The sequence below is a fragment of the Homo sapiens genome, chromosome 17 (assembly GCF_000001405.40).
Source record: "Homo sapiens chromosome 17, GRCh38.p14 Primary Assembly".
In the NCBI taxonomy this organism is placed as follows: Eukaryota; Metazoa; Chordata; class Mammalia; order Primates; family Hominidae; genus Homo; species Homo sapiens.
Genome location: NC_000017.11, coordinates 79,107,879 through 79,126,873, shown reverse-complemented (window position 1 = coordinate 79,126,873; position 18,995 = coordinate 79,107,879). Strand labels below are relative to the sequence as shown.

General features: G+C 58.3%; 1 protein-coding gene across 58 annotated transcripts in view, besides 1 other annotated feature; it reads left to right on the top strand.

Moving 5' to 3' along the window:
- The window catches only part of RBFOX3 (RNA binding fox-1 homolog 3), a 576,227-nt gene that overhangs the window by 538,698 nt on the left and 18,534 nt on the right, over positions 1-18,995 (top strand). For all 58 annotated transcript variants that reach the window (NM_001385807.1, NM_001385838.1, NM_001385842.1 and 55 more), the window contains one exon: positions 11,126-11,380. In NM_001385807.1, coding sequence (NP_001372736.1) covers positions 11,159-11,380 — 222 coding nt within the window. In that variant the 5' untranslated portion in view covers positions 11,126-11,158. The remainder of the gene's footprint in view (positions 1-11,125; positions 11,381-18,995) is intronic.
- Positions 9,206-10,110: an enhancer, noted in NCBI's record as "H3K4me1 hESC enhancer chr17:77112846-77113750 (GRCh37/hg19 assembly coordinates)". NCBI's record gives its function as "activates a minimal SCP1, AML or CMV promoter by ChIP-STARR-seq in naive H9 embryonic stem cells {active_cell/tissue: H9 hESC(naive)}" and the evidence as "EXISTENCE:reporter gene assay evidence [ECO:0000049][PMID:30033119]".

Here is an 18,995-nt window from a genome sequence, read left to right as displayed (position 1 = left end):
TCAGTGAGTGGCAGAGCTGTTCTGAGGTGGACTGAAGGAGCCTCCTCGTTAGTAAAGCACCGGTCAGGAGGCTTGTTTGAGCAGAGGTCCGGGGTGCCGGTCAGGGAGGGAACAGAGGAGACTTTGTCTGGCGGGCTGGGCTGGGTGTCTCCTGCAGAAACTACCTGTTCTAAGATTCTAGAACTGAAGGAGTGTTCAGGGTGCTCAATTGCAGCCAGAGACGAGGATGTAGACTCCCTGCCATGCAGAGAGATGGGGCCTCGTTTGCACGCCCTTGGGTGTATAGACAGGGAGGAGGGCAGGACCACCCCTGCTTCCAGGCAGGGGAGGTCAGAGTAATGAGGTCACCTGATCCAGCCATCATCAGGGACCCCAGGGACTGGAACCCACACCCCCTACCTGCCAGAGGTCAGCCCCCGGGTCACCAGCCTCCCCTTCCAACACCAGATTCCTCCAGGATCTCGGGAGGGCTGTGGGCCGGGCAGGGGTGCTCACATCGGGTACCTGCCTGTGAATCGCCGCCTGCCACATGAGGGCACCACACGCTCTTGGTGAGATGGCTCTGGCCCCCACCCCAGACTCTGGAAGTGGACATCCGTCTGTCCTGTTCTGGTCCCCATCACAGGGATATGTGGGGCTGACAGCCTCAAGCCCCCTCCTCACACCAGACTTTCACACGTCTGTGTTCCAACCGCATTCAAACTGGGAATGTGGCAGACGCGTCCAGGAAGTCTGAGGTGTCCCAGATCGTGGGGAGGGGGTGAGGGGCTTTCCTGCTCACGGAACACATAGCTGCTGGCCTCGGTGTCCCCTCTGTGAAACTCAGCTTGTGACATCCACCTCTGCAGGTCAGCAGGAGAATTAAATGTGCAGGGGGTGGTAGTGGCTATGAGGGTGAGGGCAGCACAGATCTGCAGGTGGGTGGACTCACCTCTTGGGCAGGCAGGTGACCTGCATGGGTGGCACAGGCTGTGACACACCTCACAGCTCGGCGGATGGGGCCTGGCGTTCCCCCTCCCTCCCTTCCCCATTTCTGCCTGGAATGGGCTTTGCCCAGAGGTGCTGGAGAAATGGCCCGGTGCCCAGCCTCGCCACCAGCCTCACTCCCACTGCAGCCTGCCCCGCCGGCCCAGGGCCACGCGGCGCCCTTCCCGCAGGCGGGAGCCGTCTGAAGGCAATTAGCTTCATTGTCCTGGAGGGCCTGAGAGGAGAGGGAGCCAGGAAGGGCTGTGCCGAGGGAAGGCGGCCAGGCCGTGCGGGAGGGGCTCCATCCACGGCCAGACCATTGGCCAGCCTGTCTCCTTGCCGCCTGCTCCCTGAGCTCCCTGCCGGCCCGTTGTCCCACACGCAGGCTGGGGGACCTTACCAGGCAGGACCGGAGAGCACATTGGCCAAGGGATAGGCCGGGTAGAGAACACACTGGGCCAGCGACGTGGGCAGACACCTCTGGGGGTCCTCAGCTCTAGGTCTGGAAGATGGAGGGTGCTTCTGCCCGGCCCTGCCTCCAGGCAGATGAGTCATTGTCCCCATCCCACAAACTAAGTTGCTGAGGCCCAAAGTGGTGGTGGGGCTAGTGCACAGGGTCCTGGGACCAAGGACATGTACACCCAGAGCACAGCCCAGGCGAGGCCCTGTGGCTCAGACAGCCAGCCACAGCCCCAACCTGCTCAGGGCCCCACCTGCCTGTCCTGGGCTAGGGAAGCCCTCGCCCCACACCGTCATGTCATCAGGATCCAACAGGCAGCAGGTGGCTCGCTCATTCCCGGATAATTGGAGACGAGTTTATTTTCAAGGAGGCGTCTAGAGGTCAGGGTTGGAGGGACCACCAGGGACAGCACAGGACCCCAGAACTGGCGACGACAGAGCCATCACCACGCCAGGCCCGGAGGAGCGCGTGGAGGAAGCAATGACTAGAGCCAGGGAGTGGGGAGAGTCGTGGACTGGGCTCCCCCCGAGACAAGGTCAGTCCACCATGGTCCAGGACAGAGCCAGCCGACGACAGCCTCCCAGTGGGCAACCAGGGGACCAAATACACCAGACCCACACTCCTCTCCCACCCCCCACTGTCACCAGGAAGCCACAGGGCTACAGGTCCAGGCCAGGCTGCCAGGTTCATGGAGCAGAGGCGGGGTAAGGGGTGGAGAGCGGGCCTGGCAGGCCAGCCACTCCCAGAGCCCTGGCCCTGCCTACAAGGCCAGCCCTGGCCACCCACCCCCGCAACACCTTCCCTCTGCCCCCACACCCGAGCTGGTGCCATCCCTCTCTGTCATGGCCCCTGGTTCACTTTTGCCAGACACGTGGACATTAGCCTTTATGGAGCTCACCACCTTCCAGCCCTTGCTGCTGCTGGCTGGGAATGGTCAGTTCCCTGTGGTACCAGAAATCCTCTAGTGTATAAGGCCCCATCTCGTTCACCTCTAAATACAGGCCCAGAGGAGGGGCTCCATAACTGTTGCTTGAATTGCATTTGATTTTAAAATGTCGAGTGCAGTCTTTGCAGACAGCCTCGTTCAGTGTCATTTATCTGCCACACGTTCAGGCCTCCGGGGCAGCCATGGTGGTCACCTTGCTGTGTGATTGAAGGGAGCTGGGCAGTGGCGTGCCGGTAAATGTCTAACAACCCTCTCTTCTGTGACAAATCCCAATCCAGCCCTTATGTGTGATGTGCAGCCTTTGCCGATTCCTGTGGTGTAAATGCTCCCACCAGGGCTGATTTCAGACTCCCAGTGTGGTCACTAGACCTGGAGTTGTAAAGAGCATGCCCAGTGGCACTCACATGCTGGGATGAGCCAGCCGCCACCTCCATGCCAACTCATCTTGCGCTTCCCTGCCTGCTGTGTTGAAGAGGGTGTGTGCAGTAGAGTGTGTGGGAGGGGGCAGTCTATGTGAGAACCTTGGCTCTGTGACCCTGGGCAGGCACCTTGGCCCCTCTGTAAAAATGGCGTTCGTGGTACCGACCACATGGAGGAATGGTAAGTAAAGATGAGATGATGGCCGCGAGGCAGTGGACACAGAGCAGGCCTGCAGCACAGCCGGGTTTCCTGCACGTCCCCACCTGCATCAATAGCCCCTGAAGGCGGGGGCTGGCCAAACTTTACTGCCTGCCGCCTGCCTGCCAGGTGCGATAGGAATGGCTGCCCAAGCCTCATCTGCAGAGCAAGGCTGACATCTGAGCCTGCCTTACAGGCTTGTGGGGATTCGATGAGATGGCACGTGTGGGGTACACTAGAGCTTGGTCAGCGAGCACGCCCACCGAGACGTCTTTCTTCATCTGGGCATTGATCCATCCATTAGGGCCGTTGTTAGCGTGTCCCCTCTGTGTGTGACACACTGCTCTGGATGCCGGAGATTCAGCAGCAGGAGGGACAAAGTCCTTGTTCTCCTGACTAGTTCTGGGGGCAGAGGCAGACGGTGATCATGGACACCTGGAGGCACTCAGAGGGGGAAGGGCAGAACTGAGCTGGGGGTAGAGGGGGTGGGGAGTGCCAGCAGGGTTTTCGTTTTTCTTACTTTTAATTGTTGTGGGTACATAGTAGGTGTATATATTTATGTGATACATGAGATGTTTTGATACAGGCATGCAGTGTGTGATAATCACATCAGGGAAGATGGGGTGTCCACCTCCTCAAGCATTTATCCTTTCTGTTACACACAATACAAATATGCTCTTTCAGTGATTTTTAAGTGTACAATTAAGTTATTATTGACTATAGTCACCCTGTTATACCATCAAATAGTAGGTCTTATTCATTCTTTCTGCTCTTTTGTACCCATTAACCATCCCCACCTTCCCCCAGCCCACACCCCCCTCGTCTTTCCAGCCTCTGGTCATCATCCTTCTGCTCTCTGTGTCCGTGAGTTCAGTTGTTTTGATTTTTAGATCCCACAAATAAGTGAGAACATGCGATGTTTGTCTTTCTGTGCCTGGCTTATTTCACTTAACAAAATGATGTCTAGTTCCATCCATGTTGTTGAAAATGACAGGCCCTCATTTTTTTTTTATGGCTCAATAGTACTCCATTGTGTATCTGTACCACATTTTCTTTACCCATTCATCTGTTGATGGACACTTAGGTTGCTTCCAAATCTTAGCTATTGTAAACAGTGCTGCAATAAACAGCAATGCAGATATCTCCTCCATATACTGATTTCCTTTCTTTTGGGAACATACTCAGAGGTGGGATTGCTGGATCCTACGGCAGCTGTTTTCAGTTTTTTGAGAAACCTCCAAACTGTTCTCCGTAGTGGTTGTTCTAATTTATATTCCCGCCAGCAGTGTATGAGGGTTCCCTTTTCTCCACATCCTCGCCAGTATTTGTTATTGCCTGTCTTTCGGATTTAAGCCATTTTAACTGGGGTGAGATGATATCTCAGTGTAGTTTTGATTTGCATTTCTCTGATGATCAATGATGGTGAGCACCTTTTTATACACCTGTGTGCCAAATTCCTTAGGTGGCAGCTAGACGTTCAAGGAACAGCGGAGACATTTGTGGCTGGAGTAGACAAGCAAGAGGAGAGAAGCAGGAGCAGGGGTCGTGCAGGACCCTGGTGGGGGAGGGGCCGTCTCAGGACTTTGGGTTCTACTGTGCAGAGGACAGAGTGTAGGAGCCAGGGAGGAAGTAGGAGGACCAGACAGGAGATGATGGCGGCCCGACCAAGGTGGGAGCAGTGGGCGGTTCAGGGCGGCTGGAGGCGGAGCCAGTGGGGTTTGCTACTGGACTGTTTGTGGGGTTTGCTACTGGACTGTTTGTGGTGTGTGGGCCAAAAGAGCCAAGTCAAGGGTGACCCCCAGATTAGGACTATGTGCTGGACTGGGGGGCAGGTGTTTCCTGAGATGGGGAAGACCTCAGAGATGGGTTTGATGGGGGCAATGCGGAGGAGGTCAGAGGTCCCTTTGGGGGCACGTCAAACCCCCAAAGTGTATCAGATGTCCAAGTGGAGACTGCAAGGGGCAGCTGGGATTCTGGGGAGAAGTCCAGGATGGAGATAAAACTTTGGGATTGTCAACATACAGATGTTTTTTTTTAATTTGGAGACTAAATCAAAACCTTCAGAAAGTCAGCATAGACAGGGAAGAAAGAGGTCCGAGTTCTGAGCTTTGGGGCCCATCAGTATCCAGATGTTGGAGAGATAGACAGGAATCAGCAATGCAGATGAAGCTTCCAGTAAAATAGAACCAACTGAGAGTGGGGCAGTGCAGCCAAGAGAAGTGTCTCCACATAGAGGAGCCACCAACTATGGCTAATGCTGCTGAGGGCCCAGACCAGACAAGGACTGGACACATCAGTCACATTGCAATGGTCACATTGCATTTTCAGTATGGTGGATGTAAAAACCTTGACAAAGGTGGCTTCAGGGAATGGTGCCTCGGAACACTGGCTTGGAGTGGGACCAAGAGAGAATGGGAGTGAGGGAATTGGGGCCACAGGTATAGACAACTCATTTGGGAAGTTTTGCTCTAAGGGAGGTGGTGAATTGAGTTTGTAGGATGAAGGAGCCATGGTGTCAAGGAGGGTTTTCTTTCCCTGTCACGGGAGAGACTGCAGCCTGTCAGGGTGCTGGCAGGAGGAAAACATTGATGGCTGTGGAGTGCAAGGGGCGAATTGCCAGAGATGTGAGCATATGATGGTGAGAAGGGCTGGTTTCTAGTGTACAGGTGACGTGGTTGGTCATGTCTGGGAGCACGATGCTCATCCCTGGGGACAGAAGGGAGGGCCTGGTGTAGGTGACGAGGCAGGGAGGTGGGCAGGTGAATGTGGATGTTGTCTCCTGTTTCCTAGAAAACAGGAAGCAAGGTCTCACCAAGAGTGAGGATAAAGGAGAATATTTGGAAGGTTGAGGAGGAAGGGTGAAATCAACATTCAGGTCGTGAGAGCTGAATGGCAGTGCCTGGCCCATGGCAGGGGGTGGTCATGGATTCTGAATGAATCATTCAGGGTGATTTTGTGTTTATCTGCCTCAGTGTGGGCTGTGGAGTAGAGCAGGAAGAGCTGGGTCTTACCAGTTTTGCCAGGCACAAGTGATGATAGAAGAGGGGGGCAAGTTTGTAGAGGAAGGGAGGATAACAACTTATCCATGGTCTTTAAACTCATCCGTCTATCCATCCACCCATCTATCCATTTATCCATCTGTCCATCCATCCACCCACCCACCCTTCCATCCACCCACCCACCCACCCATCTATCCATCCAACCATCCACCCATCCATTCATCCGTGCATCCACACACCCACCAATTTTTCATCCACCCTTCTTTCCATCCATTCATCCATCTTTCCATCCACTCATTTATCCACCCTCCCATCCATCTACCCATCCATTCATCCATGCACTCATCCATCCACCCACCCATCCATCTGCCCTCTCATTCATTCAGCCATCCACCCATTTATCCACCCTTCCATCCATCCATTCACTCATCCATCTACCCACCTTCTGATCCATCCACTCATCTACCCACCCTTTAATCCATCCATCCACCCATCTATCCAACCATCCATTTATCCTTCCATCCACCCACCTGCCCACCCATGTACCCCTCCCATCCATCCATCCATGCATACATACGTACATACGTACGTACATCCACCCGTTCTTGTACGCTGAGACTCTTCTGAGTAGAACAGGGTGCTGTGCTGAGTGCAGGGATATGGGGACAAAGGGTGAGTGAAGTGGTCCCCATTCTCTGAGAATGTACAGTCCCCTGGGGAACCAGATCCTTCCACAAGCTGGTCCAACATGAGGTCATCTGAGATAAGCCCCATAGCCCAGCAGGAACTCCTCCGCTCACACCACCCAACCCCAGGCCCTCATTGACTCTGACCCTAGCAGACCTGGGAAGAAGAGAAGCAATGGGACAGATACTGGCTGCACAGCCTTCTGTGTGCTGGGCATTCACGTACCCTATCAGGATGGGCCTGATACACTTTGCTTTTCTGGTCTGGGGCTCTCCACCAGGGCTGCATGTCAGTCTCCTGGGAAACATTGGTTGTAAGTGGCCTCTGTTGTTCAGGAGTGCGGCCCAGGTGTGGACACTTCTCTAGGTGACTGGGATGTGTAGCCAGCTCTGAGAGCCGCTTGCAGGACCACAGCCACACCAGCACAGCTGTGGAGGACACACAGGGCAGGGATATTGCTTGTCACCCTAAGACCCCCTGAGTCACGCTGGCTGGCTTTCATTCTGCATTTCCTCTGTCCAGGCTCTATTGTGACCATTTGCGGATGGAGAAACCTGTGCAGAGAGGACAGACAGTCACCAGGACCACCTGGTGGCTAAGAGGGGACATTGGAGCCCATCCCCGTGCATTGCAGGGTCTAGACCCCGATGCTTGGCTGTGAAACCTCCTCTCCCTTGCAAACCACCCTGGGCAGGGCTACAATTCCATGTGGAGGTGCATATGGTGGGTTTGGGATCCTGGCTGCCAGTGCTGCTCTCTGGGGTCCTCCCATACTAGTTTGGCAAATCACTTTGTCTCTACACCTCGGTTTTATTAGCTGGGAAAGGGGGAAGTGTCCACTCAATGAGTGAGCGTCTGTAAAAGCAGGGAGCACTGTGGGCTCAAATATGCTGTTTTATTCTAGTGTCACAAATGTCCCTAAAATGTCCCCATCTGCTAGGGACCTCTTGCCCACCACAGATGCCCTCAGATCTGGCACCTACTGCCGGAGCTCCCCCCTTTATGTTGGCGGGTTCGCCTGTCATTTGTTAGCTCAGGGCTCTGGGCTTCAGCCCTGCAGAACCTCAAGTGAGAGTGATTGGCAGCTGTCATTCAGCCCCAAGTTGAATGACAGGGATTAGAGCCCTGCAGAGGGTTAGAGGTAGGGTGAGAAGGAAGCAGATGGGACAGGAGCTGCGCTTTCTTTTTTATTTTATTTTCTTTATTTTTTTTTTTTTTTTTTGAGACAGGGGTTTCCTCTGTCACCCTGGCTGGACCACAGTGGTGTGATCTTGGTTCACTGCAGCCTCAACCTCCAGGCTCAAGTGATGATCCTGCCTCAGCCTCCCACATTACTGGGACTAGAGGCATGTGCCACCACACCTGGCTATTTTTTTTTTTTTTATTTTTTGTAGAGAGGGTTTCACTGTGTTGTCCAGGATGGTCTCGAACTCCTGGGCTCAAGCAATCCTCCCACCTCAGCCTCCCAAAGTGCTGGGATTACAGGAATAAGCCACTGCACCCAACCAGGAGCCCACTCTTTCTCAGGCCTTGGAGGAGGTGGAGGAGGGGGTTGCTGGGAAGACAGTGCAAGGCGGTGAAGGCTCTAATCAAATATTTATCAGCAAATTCATCTCCCCTGTGTCTGCAGGGCCCTCACGCTGTGCCTTCCACACTTTCTCTTGCTCCTGTTTTCCTGATTTTGCCTCTGGCCATCCTGGGTTCTAGATGCTCTCCACCCCTCCTGGGTGCCCTGACTCTCCTTCCCCCTCCTCCTCCCTCATGGATCCACCCCTTCCCACTGGACTCCGTCACCAACACGTTTGCTAACAACGGACGATGGGGCCTCACCAGCTACCTTGGGGCAATGAGCCTGGAACCTCCCACGAGTGTGTACGCATGCACACGTGTGTGCTTCCCTCCCGTGGCTGAGGAGCTTGAATGTCGCCCCAGTTTCAGAGTCTGCAGAGAGAGGGAAGGAGCCAGCTGGCTTTGTGGAGGGGTGGGGATGGGAGGAGGACAGCACTTCTGCTCCTTAGGTTCCCAGTCAGCGAGTCTGTCGCAGGGTGGCGAGCACCGAGACGGCCCCCGCTGCAGAGCCCAGGGCCGGCCGGCACTGGGGGCTTCAGGGAGCAGGGCACGGCTGGGTTGCCCAGGCTCCACCCTTCCAGCTATGCGCACCCACCCTAGGTTGCTGGGCCCCCAGGCAGAGGGTTTGGGGCCATAAACAGAAGGAGGGGGTGGCCGGGTCTGAAGCAGAACACCCAGCCTTGGACCGTCCCTTGGGGCCACCTCCCTGGTGCAGCCAGGTCCCTTGCAGCCCTCAGTGCTGTAACAATGGTTTGACATCGGGTCATTGTTCTCTGAAGCTTTCCTTTCCCGCTGGACTGCAGGCCCCACCAGCAGGGAGCAGGGGCTGTCGGGGTTGCTGTCAACACAGCCCCTGCCCTGGCATGGGCCTGGCACACCCCAGGTACCCCATCAACAGTTGTTGGGTGGATTTGTAGGAACTGAATGAAGGATGCAGAGGACAGGCTAGGGGTGGGGGAGGCAGGACAGAGGTGGACATGCCAGATCCACCTGTGCAGGGAGCATGGGCACATGAGGGGCTCCTCCTTAGCCAGGGGAGGCACTGCCCAGAGGCCGAGAACACAGGAGCCCGGCAGAGGGGGATGTGTGGGTGTGGAGGGAAGCGGGAGAAAGACCGCCCTGCGGGGGCAGCCCCCAGCCTCTGCCTGCACCTAGTAGGTGCTCACTGAACTAACGTGTGTGGTGTGAACAAAGCGTGCGTGGCCCCGGGTGATGGGAGCGTGGGGTGGAGGCGCAGGTGAGGGAGGTGAGCAGCCACTTCCCTGCTGGGCGCTCCTCCTCCCCACCGCAAAGCCCACCTTCAGCAAGGACGCGGACTCCTGCCTGTCCCTGCCAGGGTGGCTGAGCGTCAGACCCATCCACATCTGAGCAGGGGTCCTAACACACTGGGCTGCTCCAGGCAGAGGCGGCATCTGTCCTTCCAGGCAGTGGGGCCTCCTCACCGCAGACTCCTGGGGGGGCGAGTGCCTCGCCTGCTCAGGGGGTCCTGGGCCCCAGGCTGTGTCTGCAGTGGAGGACAGCGAGTGGAGGAGGCCGGAGCCCCTTTCCCTCTGCCGCCTCCGCCTGCACCTTGCTCTCTGGCACTGTGAAAGACCCCAGCCCTCCTCTTGGGATCATAAGGGCTCCCCACCAGGGCTGCTTCTCAGGCCCTAGGTCAGTGGTTCTCAGTGCACGCAGATTGCTGGAGGAGGCCTGGGGTGCGCCCTGGAACCCGCATTGCCCACCAAAAAGCTCCCAGGTGCTGCTGATGCTGTGGGCCCAGGCCACTTTGACAACCACTGCCCTGTATTGCTGCTGGGGTCCTGCCCAAGGGCCTGGGCTTCTAAGAGCCTCTGAGAGTGGCTGCAGGAGCAGTATTCCCCGCTTGGGGCAGCAGGCCTTTGAGGGGGCACAGACAGATCTTTGAGAGTTCCTCAGAGATCCTTGACACAGAGGCTGGAACCCTCCCTGCCCCCCGACACACCTCACTGTCATGGCCATCACTGGCAGGGGAGGCAGGAGGCCCTGAGTTCAGCTTCTGCACAGTCACTTCCAGGGATCCAGGTGCGGGCTGGGCAGCGCCGCCCTCTCACTTCTGCTTTCCAATGACAAAACTGAGGCTTAAAATTATTTGAAGATGAAGTTTCGCTCTCATCACCCAGGCTGGAGCGCAATAGTGCGATTTTGGCTCGCTGCAACCCCTGCCTCCCAGGTTGAAGTGATTCTCCTGCCTCAGCCTCCCGAGTAGCTGGGATTATAGGCACGTGCCACCACATCCCGCTAATTTTTGTATTTTTAGTAGAGATGGGGTTTCACCATGTTGGCCAGGCTGGTCTTGAACTCCTGACCTCAGGTGATCCACCTGTCAAGGCTTAAAATTCTTGAGGTGGGAAGGAGATGGGTTGGCTCTAAAAGGGGAAGAGCAGTAGTCCTCATGCTGCTGGAACATTCTGTGTGTTGTGTGAATCCATGTCAGTATCCTGCTGGTGGTGGTTTTATGGATGTTACCGTGAGGACCCTGGTTACAAGGTGTACAGATCACTGTGTTACTTCTTACAGCTGCACGAGCCTACAGTTACCTTAAAATGGTTAATTTTTTTAAAATCAGGTAGTTTACAAAAACCCTTCAGTTGTTCTTGTACCCAGGTCTGACAAGTGTGAGTAAATGGGCTGAACTCCAGGGGTGTCTGACTCCAGAGCCAGGCTCCCCGGCATTCCCAGCGCAGCACCCCCTCCTGCTCTGAGCTGGTGCCCATGCCGGCGAGCCCCCCTTGGAGGGGCCGGGGAAAGGCTGCTGAAAATACTGCTGGAGAAGCTCTGCTCAGCCACAAGGCCCCATCCTCAGGGGCTCCGGGAAGGGGACAAGATTCTAACCAGGCCTTGCTCTCTCTCCTTCCACAGAGCGATCAGGACGCCACGGCTCCGCCTGAAGCGATGGCCCAGCCCTACCCCCCCGCCCAGTACCCCCCTCCGCCACAGAACGGCATCCCTGCCGAGTACGCCCCGCCCCCACCGCACCCCACGCAGGACTACTCCGGCCAGACCCCGGTCCCCACAGAGCATGGCATGACCCTGTACACACCAGCACAGACCCACCCCGAGCAGCCAGGCTCCGAGGCCAGCACACAGCCCATCGCCGGGACCCAGACAGTGCCGGTAAGGGCCCCCACGACCCCAGGCCCAGCCCTGGAGCTTCAGGGAGGAGCACCCACCCAGAAGAAGGGTGGCCCAGAAGGGCATGAGGTGTACCAGGTGGGCGAGGGGCCTGGGCAGGGCCTCTGTGTGTGGAGGGCAGGCCTTTTACGGGGCTCCTGGGCCAGAAGTCACCCCCAGTGAAGGCATTTCCAGCCCCTGCTCGACCCCCGGCGCCAAGGAGCTTTGTGATGAGCAGGCATCTGGAGGAATGGCCGGGCACCTAGGGGTGGGGTGGCAGCCACCGTCCTCCAGCCGCCTGGGCCTGGCTTCCCTGCTTCGAGCAAACACTCACCCCAGCTGGGAGGTGTCCTCGCTGCCAGAGACCTGTTAGTGGAAAGTGAAGGAGACGGGCGGAGGGCAGAGGCAGAGCCGTGGAGGTGGCCCAGGGCCCTCCGAGCTGCCTCGGGTTGCAGGCCCTCCTATCATTTCTAATCACTTGTAATCTACCTGCTTGGCTGGCCTCCAATCAGATAGCTTCAATTATGTGGTTGTAATGCAGCTCCCAGGCAAAAGTGCTGAGCCCTCACTTCTCAGATTTCCTGAGAGCAAAGAGAGCCAGCAGGGAGTGGCCAAGCGGCTGGCCTGGAGTGGGCTCTGGGTACAAAAACCAGGCCCTGCCTCCACCCACCCCCCAGAGCCCCAGCCGGCCTATTCCTTTTGTCTGGTCCCCTCCACTGAGATCTCCATGTGCCTCCCCTGCCCCTGCTCTGGGGCTCCAGGTTCATCCAACTGTCCCCGCTGGCCCTGTCCCAGCCGCTGGATGTGCTAGCTGGCGGGGCTGGGCAGGAGGCCAGAGCTCTCTGCACTGCCCGGGAGTGGCACCGCCCCGGCGGCTCCCAATGGGGGTCCCCCTCCCGACTGCCTCAGCCCTCCTGCCGTCCAGCCTGGCTCCCAGCGTGCTGCGTGGACGCAGATAGGAGCCTTCCCCCGGTGCATGTGTGGGCAGGGGCTTCCTCCAGCGTCACCCAGGCCCTCTGCCGAGAGAGCCCACCCAGCCACCTCCTGGGCTGGACCCGACCCTCATCTGGCACCCAGGCGGTGCCTTTCCTCCCTGCTTGGAGCCCCGCCCAGCCCGAATCTGCCCCGAGACCATCAGCCTTTCCAGCGCCCCCAGCATCCTGATACCCAGGGTTCCTACAGCCACAGGACACACATGGAAAAGGCCAGGCCCCAGGGTGGTAGAAGCAGGGGCCAAGCTTCCCTGTCTGCTCTGGTTCTTATTCATCAAACCCACGCCCTGTGTGTGCTTAGAAAAGACAGAGATGATCCCAGGAGCCAAGCCGGGTTCACCATAAACAAGTCACGCTAGAGCAGGCTGGGTCTCCTTCTGACTGACTCCAGTAGACACAGCTTATCTGCTCAAACCTCTGACAGCCACCTTATGGACAGACGAGGGGGTCTCTCATGGTGAGCCTCAGGGGTTCGTCCCAGAAGAAAACCAGAAGCAGGAGGGTCAGACACACAGATAACACAGCTTGGGGACGGACCTAGCACTCTAACTGAACAACAGAACCGAGGCCAGATGCCTCCTGGACACCTGGGGCCACCAGACACAGCCTACCAGGACACACATAAAGTCTTCCTTCACTCGGCAGACATTTGCTGAGCACCTGCCGTGTTCCAGGCACTGAATTGGCACTGAGGCTACAAAGAAGAAAGGACCCAGCCCTGTCCCCTAGTTCCTGCCACGCAAGGACAGGAAAGTCAGAAACAGAGGCTGGCTTGGGTCTGGCTTGCCCGTGAGAGGCCACAGACCATGGAGAGAATCCCCGAGTGAGCAGCAGCTGCTGAAAAGGTGAATGCTGCATCCAATGAAGTACTCTCCAACCAGGAGGATGGGAGTCTCACCACCCAGTTATTAGCCTCCAGAGCCTCCCAGGAAGCGTGTCCAGGTGGGAAGCACCCAGAGCCCAGAGGATGGACAGACGGCCTTGACCTTCCTTTCTTCAGGCTGGGGTCTCTCAGGTCTGGCAGAGGGTTCAGGGTCATGGTCTGCAGATCTTTCATCCAGGGACCCAGAGGAGAGAGTCATCCTCCATGACCTGCACCCAGGGCAGGGCTGCAGGCAGAAGTTACGGCATCGGCGTGGTGCCCCACGAAGAACAAAGACCTGGGCCTCCTCAGAGGCCATGCGCTCCCCAACCTTGGAGTATTTGTTCATGCAGAGCCTTCCTACCTTGGAAGGCAGCTGGAGAGGGTGTTCTAGATTCCAGGAGCTCCTTCCTCCCAGAGGCTGCCCGGCACTCACAGCTGAAGGCCGAACGCCTCCCTGCTGGCTCAGGTGTCCCCAGACCCTGTCCCTGGGTCATCAGCAGGGCCCTTTCAGCTCACTCGAGCCTCCCCTTGGCCCTGCCCCAAGCAGCCTGGTATTGTGGTCTAGATCTTCGGGATAGGAAGTGGGATGAGTTCAGAGCTTTGGTCCAGACCTGCCTAGGTCAGAGTGTCTTCCTGAGCTCCCGGGGCACTCGAGGGCCCGTGTGCAGCCACCAAGTACCCTGGTCTCTTCCTTCCCCACCATCCCTGAAGTCCTACCCAGCCCACCCCCCCCCCGAGAGCCTGCTGCCCAGGTTGGCACCAGGTCAGGGCACACAACCCCCTGGACGCTCCCTGGACCCAGATGCCACCCAGAGGCCACTGGGGCTTCCCGCCCTCTCGCCCAAGGGGACTTCCTTCTGCTGGTGAGCATGGGCTGCCCTGGCAGTTGGTGTGGCCAGGGCAGTGGAGAGGGGGAGCTTGGAGTGCCTGTCCAGCCCCCACATCACCCACCCCACTGGTAGCTGTGGCAGAGCCGGCCCCTAGACGGCAGGGTCCTGTCCAGGCCCGGGGGCCCACACAGGCAGCCTGTTCCGTTCTAGGACCTGGGGCTGATGGCGTCGATGGGAGAGAGCAGTGGCCCCTGCAGCCCATCCCCATGCCTCAGACCTCTCCGTCTCCTCCACCCCAGGATCCTCAAAGACAGCCTGGGCCCCAGCTCCGGAAAGGCCTTCCTGGAATTTCTGGAACCACGAGGCCTCTTCCTGCTCCTCCTCCCCCGAGGAGGGTTTCCAGCCAGCAATTGGTGGGAAGTCCGTGTTCATCCAACTCAGGGCCTTTCCCGACACCTCCACCACCCAGGTGGGATGCACCCCTCAACCCCTAGTCACAGAAGCACAGCTGACCCTGCAGAGAGAAACATGGGGTTCCTGGGGGCCACCGGTCCCTCACCGACACTGAGACTTCCCACAGAAGGCGGAGCGTGCACTGATTTTTGTGGTCTCGATACCCTCGGGTGGGTCCCGACCACCCCCAGTGACTTTCCAGCTACATCATTCCCCAGGAAGGCTCCTCCCCTCTGAGCAGGACACCTCTTTTCACCGTCCAGAAATACGGAGGCTCCTTCCTGGTGGGGCAGGGGCGTCTCTGCTCATCCGTGATGGGAAGGGACATGTGACAAGAACCCACAAGGGGCACGCACACCTGCACATAGGCTCCGTTTCTCTCACCGCTCACCACGACATCACCTGCCTTCTCTGGACAAAAGCAGCAAAGGGTACAGAGTGCGATGAGGGGCTGCGGAAGGACCGGGGGACCCCATCTCACTACCTTGAGCCACCCCCAGGGTCTGTGTTCCCCAGCAGGGGTCACCATCTGGAGCATGTATTCACTCACTCGGGGTCACGCAGGTGCCAGTACTGTGGGCCCTTGGGAGTCTTTGTGCTCAAGGGACCCTCAGCTTGCTAACGGGCCGGGCATGTTGGCTCACGCCTGTCACCCCAGCACTTCGGGAGGCCGAGGCAGGTGGATCACGAAGTCAGGACTTCCAGACCAGCCTGGCCAAGATGGTGGAACCCTGTCTCTACAAAAATACAAAAATTAATCGGGCATGGTGGCTCGTGCCTGTAATCCCAGCTGCCCGGGAGGCTGAGGCAGGAGAATCACTTGAACCCAGGAGGTGGAGGTTGCAGTGAGCTGAGATCACGCCGCTGCACTCCAGCCTGGGCGACAGAGCAAAACTCTGAGAAAAAGAGAGAGAGATTAGCACGCAGATAAAAAAAATGCCAGACAAAGCACGGAGGGTCACTGTGGAGGGCCAGCCAGGTAGAGGGAGACGGGATGAGACTGGTGTTTTCCAGAGCCCACGTGGGCTCCTCCACCTGCCAGAAGGGACCCCACGTGGGCCGCAAGGGCCTGATGTCTGAGGGGCCAGCACCTCCCTCACTGCCTGCTGGGGACCTGGGCTCTGCACCCCTGGCTTCACTGCAGGCATAGATGCCTGTGCGCCCAGGTCCCTGGAGGCCTCTCTGCCCAGTGACCTGCAGCCCCAGGATGAACCTCTGTCCTTTCTGCTGTCCGTCGGGCCTGAGCCTCCTCGGAAACTCCCGCACTTGCCCTGATCTTCCATTTGGACCACCTCATCTATAACTACAGGCTTCACAGTCTGGCCAAGGCCCTCTCCCCTCAGCCAGGAGCTGCAGCCCTTGGTCACTGTGTTCTTGGCTCTCACAGCTTATGGAAGGGGTGAGGGGTAGGCCGTGGCTGGCCACTGGCCTGAGAAGGGCGGAAGAGAGGAGGCGCTGGTCCCCAAAGCAACGCCACAGTGAGGCTCAGCTGAGATGCCCCTACCCAGGCTGGGAGGTGGGAGTGGATGAGGCGTCAGTCGGCTGCCCGTGCCACGGTGCAGAGGCCAGATCAGGAGGGGCTTGAAATCCTGTGTTCTTCAAATGCCACGTGGGAGCCAACAGCTTCACCCAAGGAGGGGCCACCAGTGCCACCAGGCTCTGAAGCAGACACTCCCAGTGGATAGGTTGAGACCACACGCAGAGAACCCCTCCTCCAAGGCTGACTGGCTGCCCACCAGCGGCTCACCAAGGCAGGTCCTTGCCTGAGTGCCTAGGAGGTCTTTGGAGGAACGAAGGGAGACGGCGCTGTCGAGGAAGGGATTTCCAAAAACCGGTTCATGTGGTGCCACAGCAGCACAGCTTGGTTCCGTGCCAACAACAGCCACCGGGTCCCACCTGCTGTCCAGGGTCTGCCTAGGTCTACCAGACCCTGCCTGGGGCTCATTCCCTTTGTCTGTCTCCGTGCCAAGCTTGGGGGCCCCAGGCGAAAGTGGGTGCAGGCTCCTCAGAGGATGTGGAGAGTGGGAGGTGCTGTGTGGCAACTAGACCCCCACCCCGAACTTGAGTGGGCTGGGGAGGTGTCCATAATGGCCGGGCCAAGACAGAGCTGGGGAAGGATGCAGAAGCAGGACCCCCAGCCCAGTCGGGAGGGAAGGGCAGTCCTGTCCTTTTCTCTTTCCCTGCATTTGAGAACAAGAAGCAAAGACGGCTTTTTTTTTTTTTTTTGAGTGGGGGAAAGAAAGCCCCTGAGAAAGCTGGAAAGGCGGTGGAGGCTGCTGGACCGCTACAGTCAGTGTGGGAAGGCCCCCATCCCCCGGCCTGGGGCAGTCCGTGTGCAGTCATGCGAGGGCTTCCCTGCACACCTGACGGTTTCACAGCCATTGAACCCACTTAGCCTCTGCCCGGGGCTGAGCAGGGATAGAATGGCTTCTTCCTCACCTGTGTCCTGGCCCCACTCATGGCTCCTCCCACTCACACCCCATCACCCCCTTCCTCCCGCCTCATCCTCGGCTGCTCCCCTTTAGGACTTTGGGGTGGATGCCCCAGCGCCTGTGGGTGGGCGCGGGGCTGGTTCCCACCATCGCCCTCTGCTGCTCAGAGGCCAGAGCTGTGTGCCCCTCTCCAGGCTGGATTCCTGAATCTGGGATGACTCAGTCACCTGTACCCAAGAGCAGCAGAGGGCACAGGCACATCCCTGTCCACCGAGGAGGAAAGACCCACGCCTGTCCAATGGGAGGGTGGGGTTCAGACCTCCATAAAGATCGGTGGATGTTTGGACGGTCTCGCCTTGGTTCAGGGGTAAGGTCGTCCCCTCCGGAGGTCTAGCATAGGCTTGCTTTCTGCAAGAAAACTTGGGACCAAGGAGGATGGCAGCAGAACTGGGAAACTGGGCTGCTGGGCATCTCCAGTTCCCCAGGCTTGGATGGAGGAGCCTCCCGCATACCCCTGTCGAGCCAGAGTCAGCTGCCCTGCATTGCCCGTCACTGGGGACGTGATGCCAGCCAGACCAGGAGTCTCCGGAGGCCTGTCATCCACCCTCCTGGCCCTGCCAGCTGTGCCCACCACAGATGCCTCCGTGCCAAAGCTCAGCCCCCACTGATGGGGGTGGCACATGTCAGGGAACCCCAAGGAGCAGCCGCCCAGCTTGCCCAAGCCTGGGGGCTCATGCCCTCCGAGAGCCATGACCATTTTCCACCTCTTGGGGTCCTGAGGGAGATGCAGGATCCACCCGGAGCCTCACACCTTGGGAACACGTACAGCTCAGAACACATGCTTGTCGGAATTGGGACAGCATACCACATGGCGCGTCTGCTGAGACAGGTCCTGCAGCGCATGCCCAGGTGAGCATCGGGACAGCGGTTCCCACGCTGTGGGGTGTGTGCTGCATCCTCGCTGTTCAACGCAGGGGACAGAGCTGCATCAGGAACGTGGACACGTGTGCTCCACAGCCCTACAGCCCTTGAGACCCCACTCCCAGCCTGCCCCACTGCCAGTGCCAGGGGCTGTCGCCAGGGAAGAAGCTGTGGTACGGGGGAGGCTGTGTCCTCCACCACCCTGCGCAGCCCAGGAAGTGGTGACTTCCCCTCTGGTCACCTAGCGGCACCTGCTGCCCTGGAGCCTGGTCAGAGGCTTTCTGGCTACATGCGGAAATGCAGGGGAGCAGCCTGTCCTTCCAGAAAGGACAACCAGGGTGGCCGTGCTGGGGGCGGCGACAGCCGGACAGCCACTCAGACAGGAGTCGAGGGACCAAGCTGTGGCCACTTAGCTGTAGTGTGACCTTGGCACGGCTCTGCCTCCCTGGCTCCATTTCCTTTGCCGTGGGCCGAGGCCTCCAGCCCTGTGACCCCAGGCTCCCCACTCACCGTCCTAACTCAGCACTCCTTTGGTTGCCCGCGACAGATGCCCTCCGGAAAGTGGCTTCAGCAGCCAGGTGCTTCGCCTAGCTGGAGATGCGTGGGAATGGCTCTCTGGAGCCTCTCTTCTTGGCTTTCCTCCTCTTGCTCGCAGGCTGGCTGCCTCTGCTCCGCAGGCCACACGGGAGACCATGCTACCAGCCTTCCATTTGTACCGGCTGCCGTGTAGGCCTCTAAGGGACCCCAGTCTCCTCTACGGCCGCTCCAGAAAGGATCCAGACGGCTGGAGCCAAGACCCTCCTACCTTCGGCTGGCGTCCTGTCCCAGAAGCCACATGGCCTCTGAGGAGGGGTTCTCCGTGTGTGGTCTCCAGCTGTCCACTGGGAGTGTCAGGAGGCCCAGAGCCAAAGATTCAAATGCACAGGGTGTATTTGGGAGATGATCTCCCAAAACCCCTAAGGGGCAGCATGGAATTGAGGCGGGAAGGCGAAGGAAGCCAATAAAAGGCACATTGTCAGCCTGCTGTTCCCATGGGCAGCTGAGCTTAAATTGTTGGAGGAAGTGTGGACAGTGAGAACCCCTCCAGGGCACCCCGCGGGAGCTGGAGCGTGCACCCACCACCTG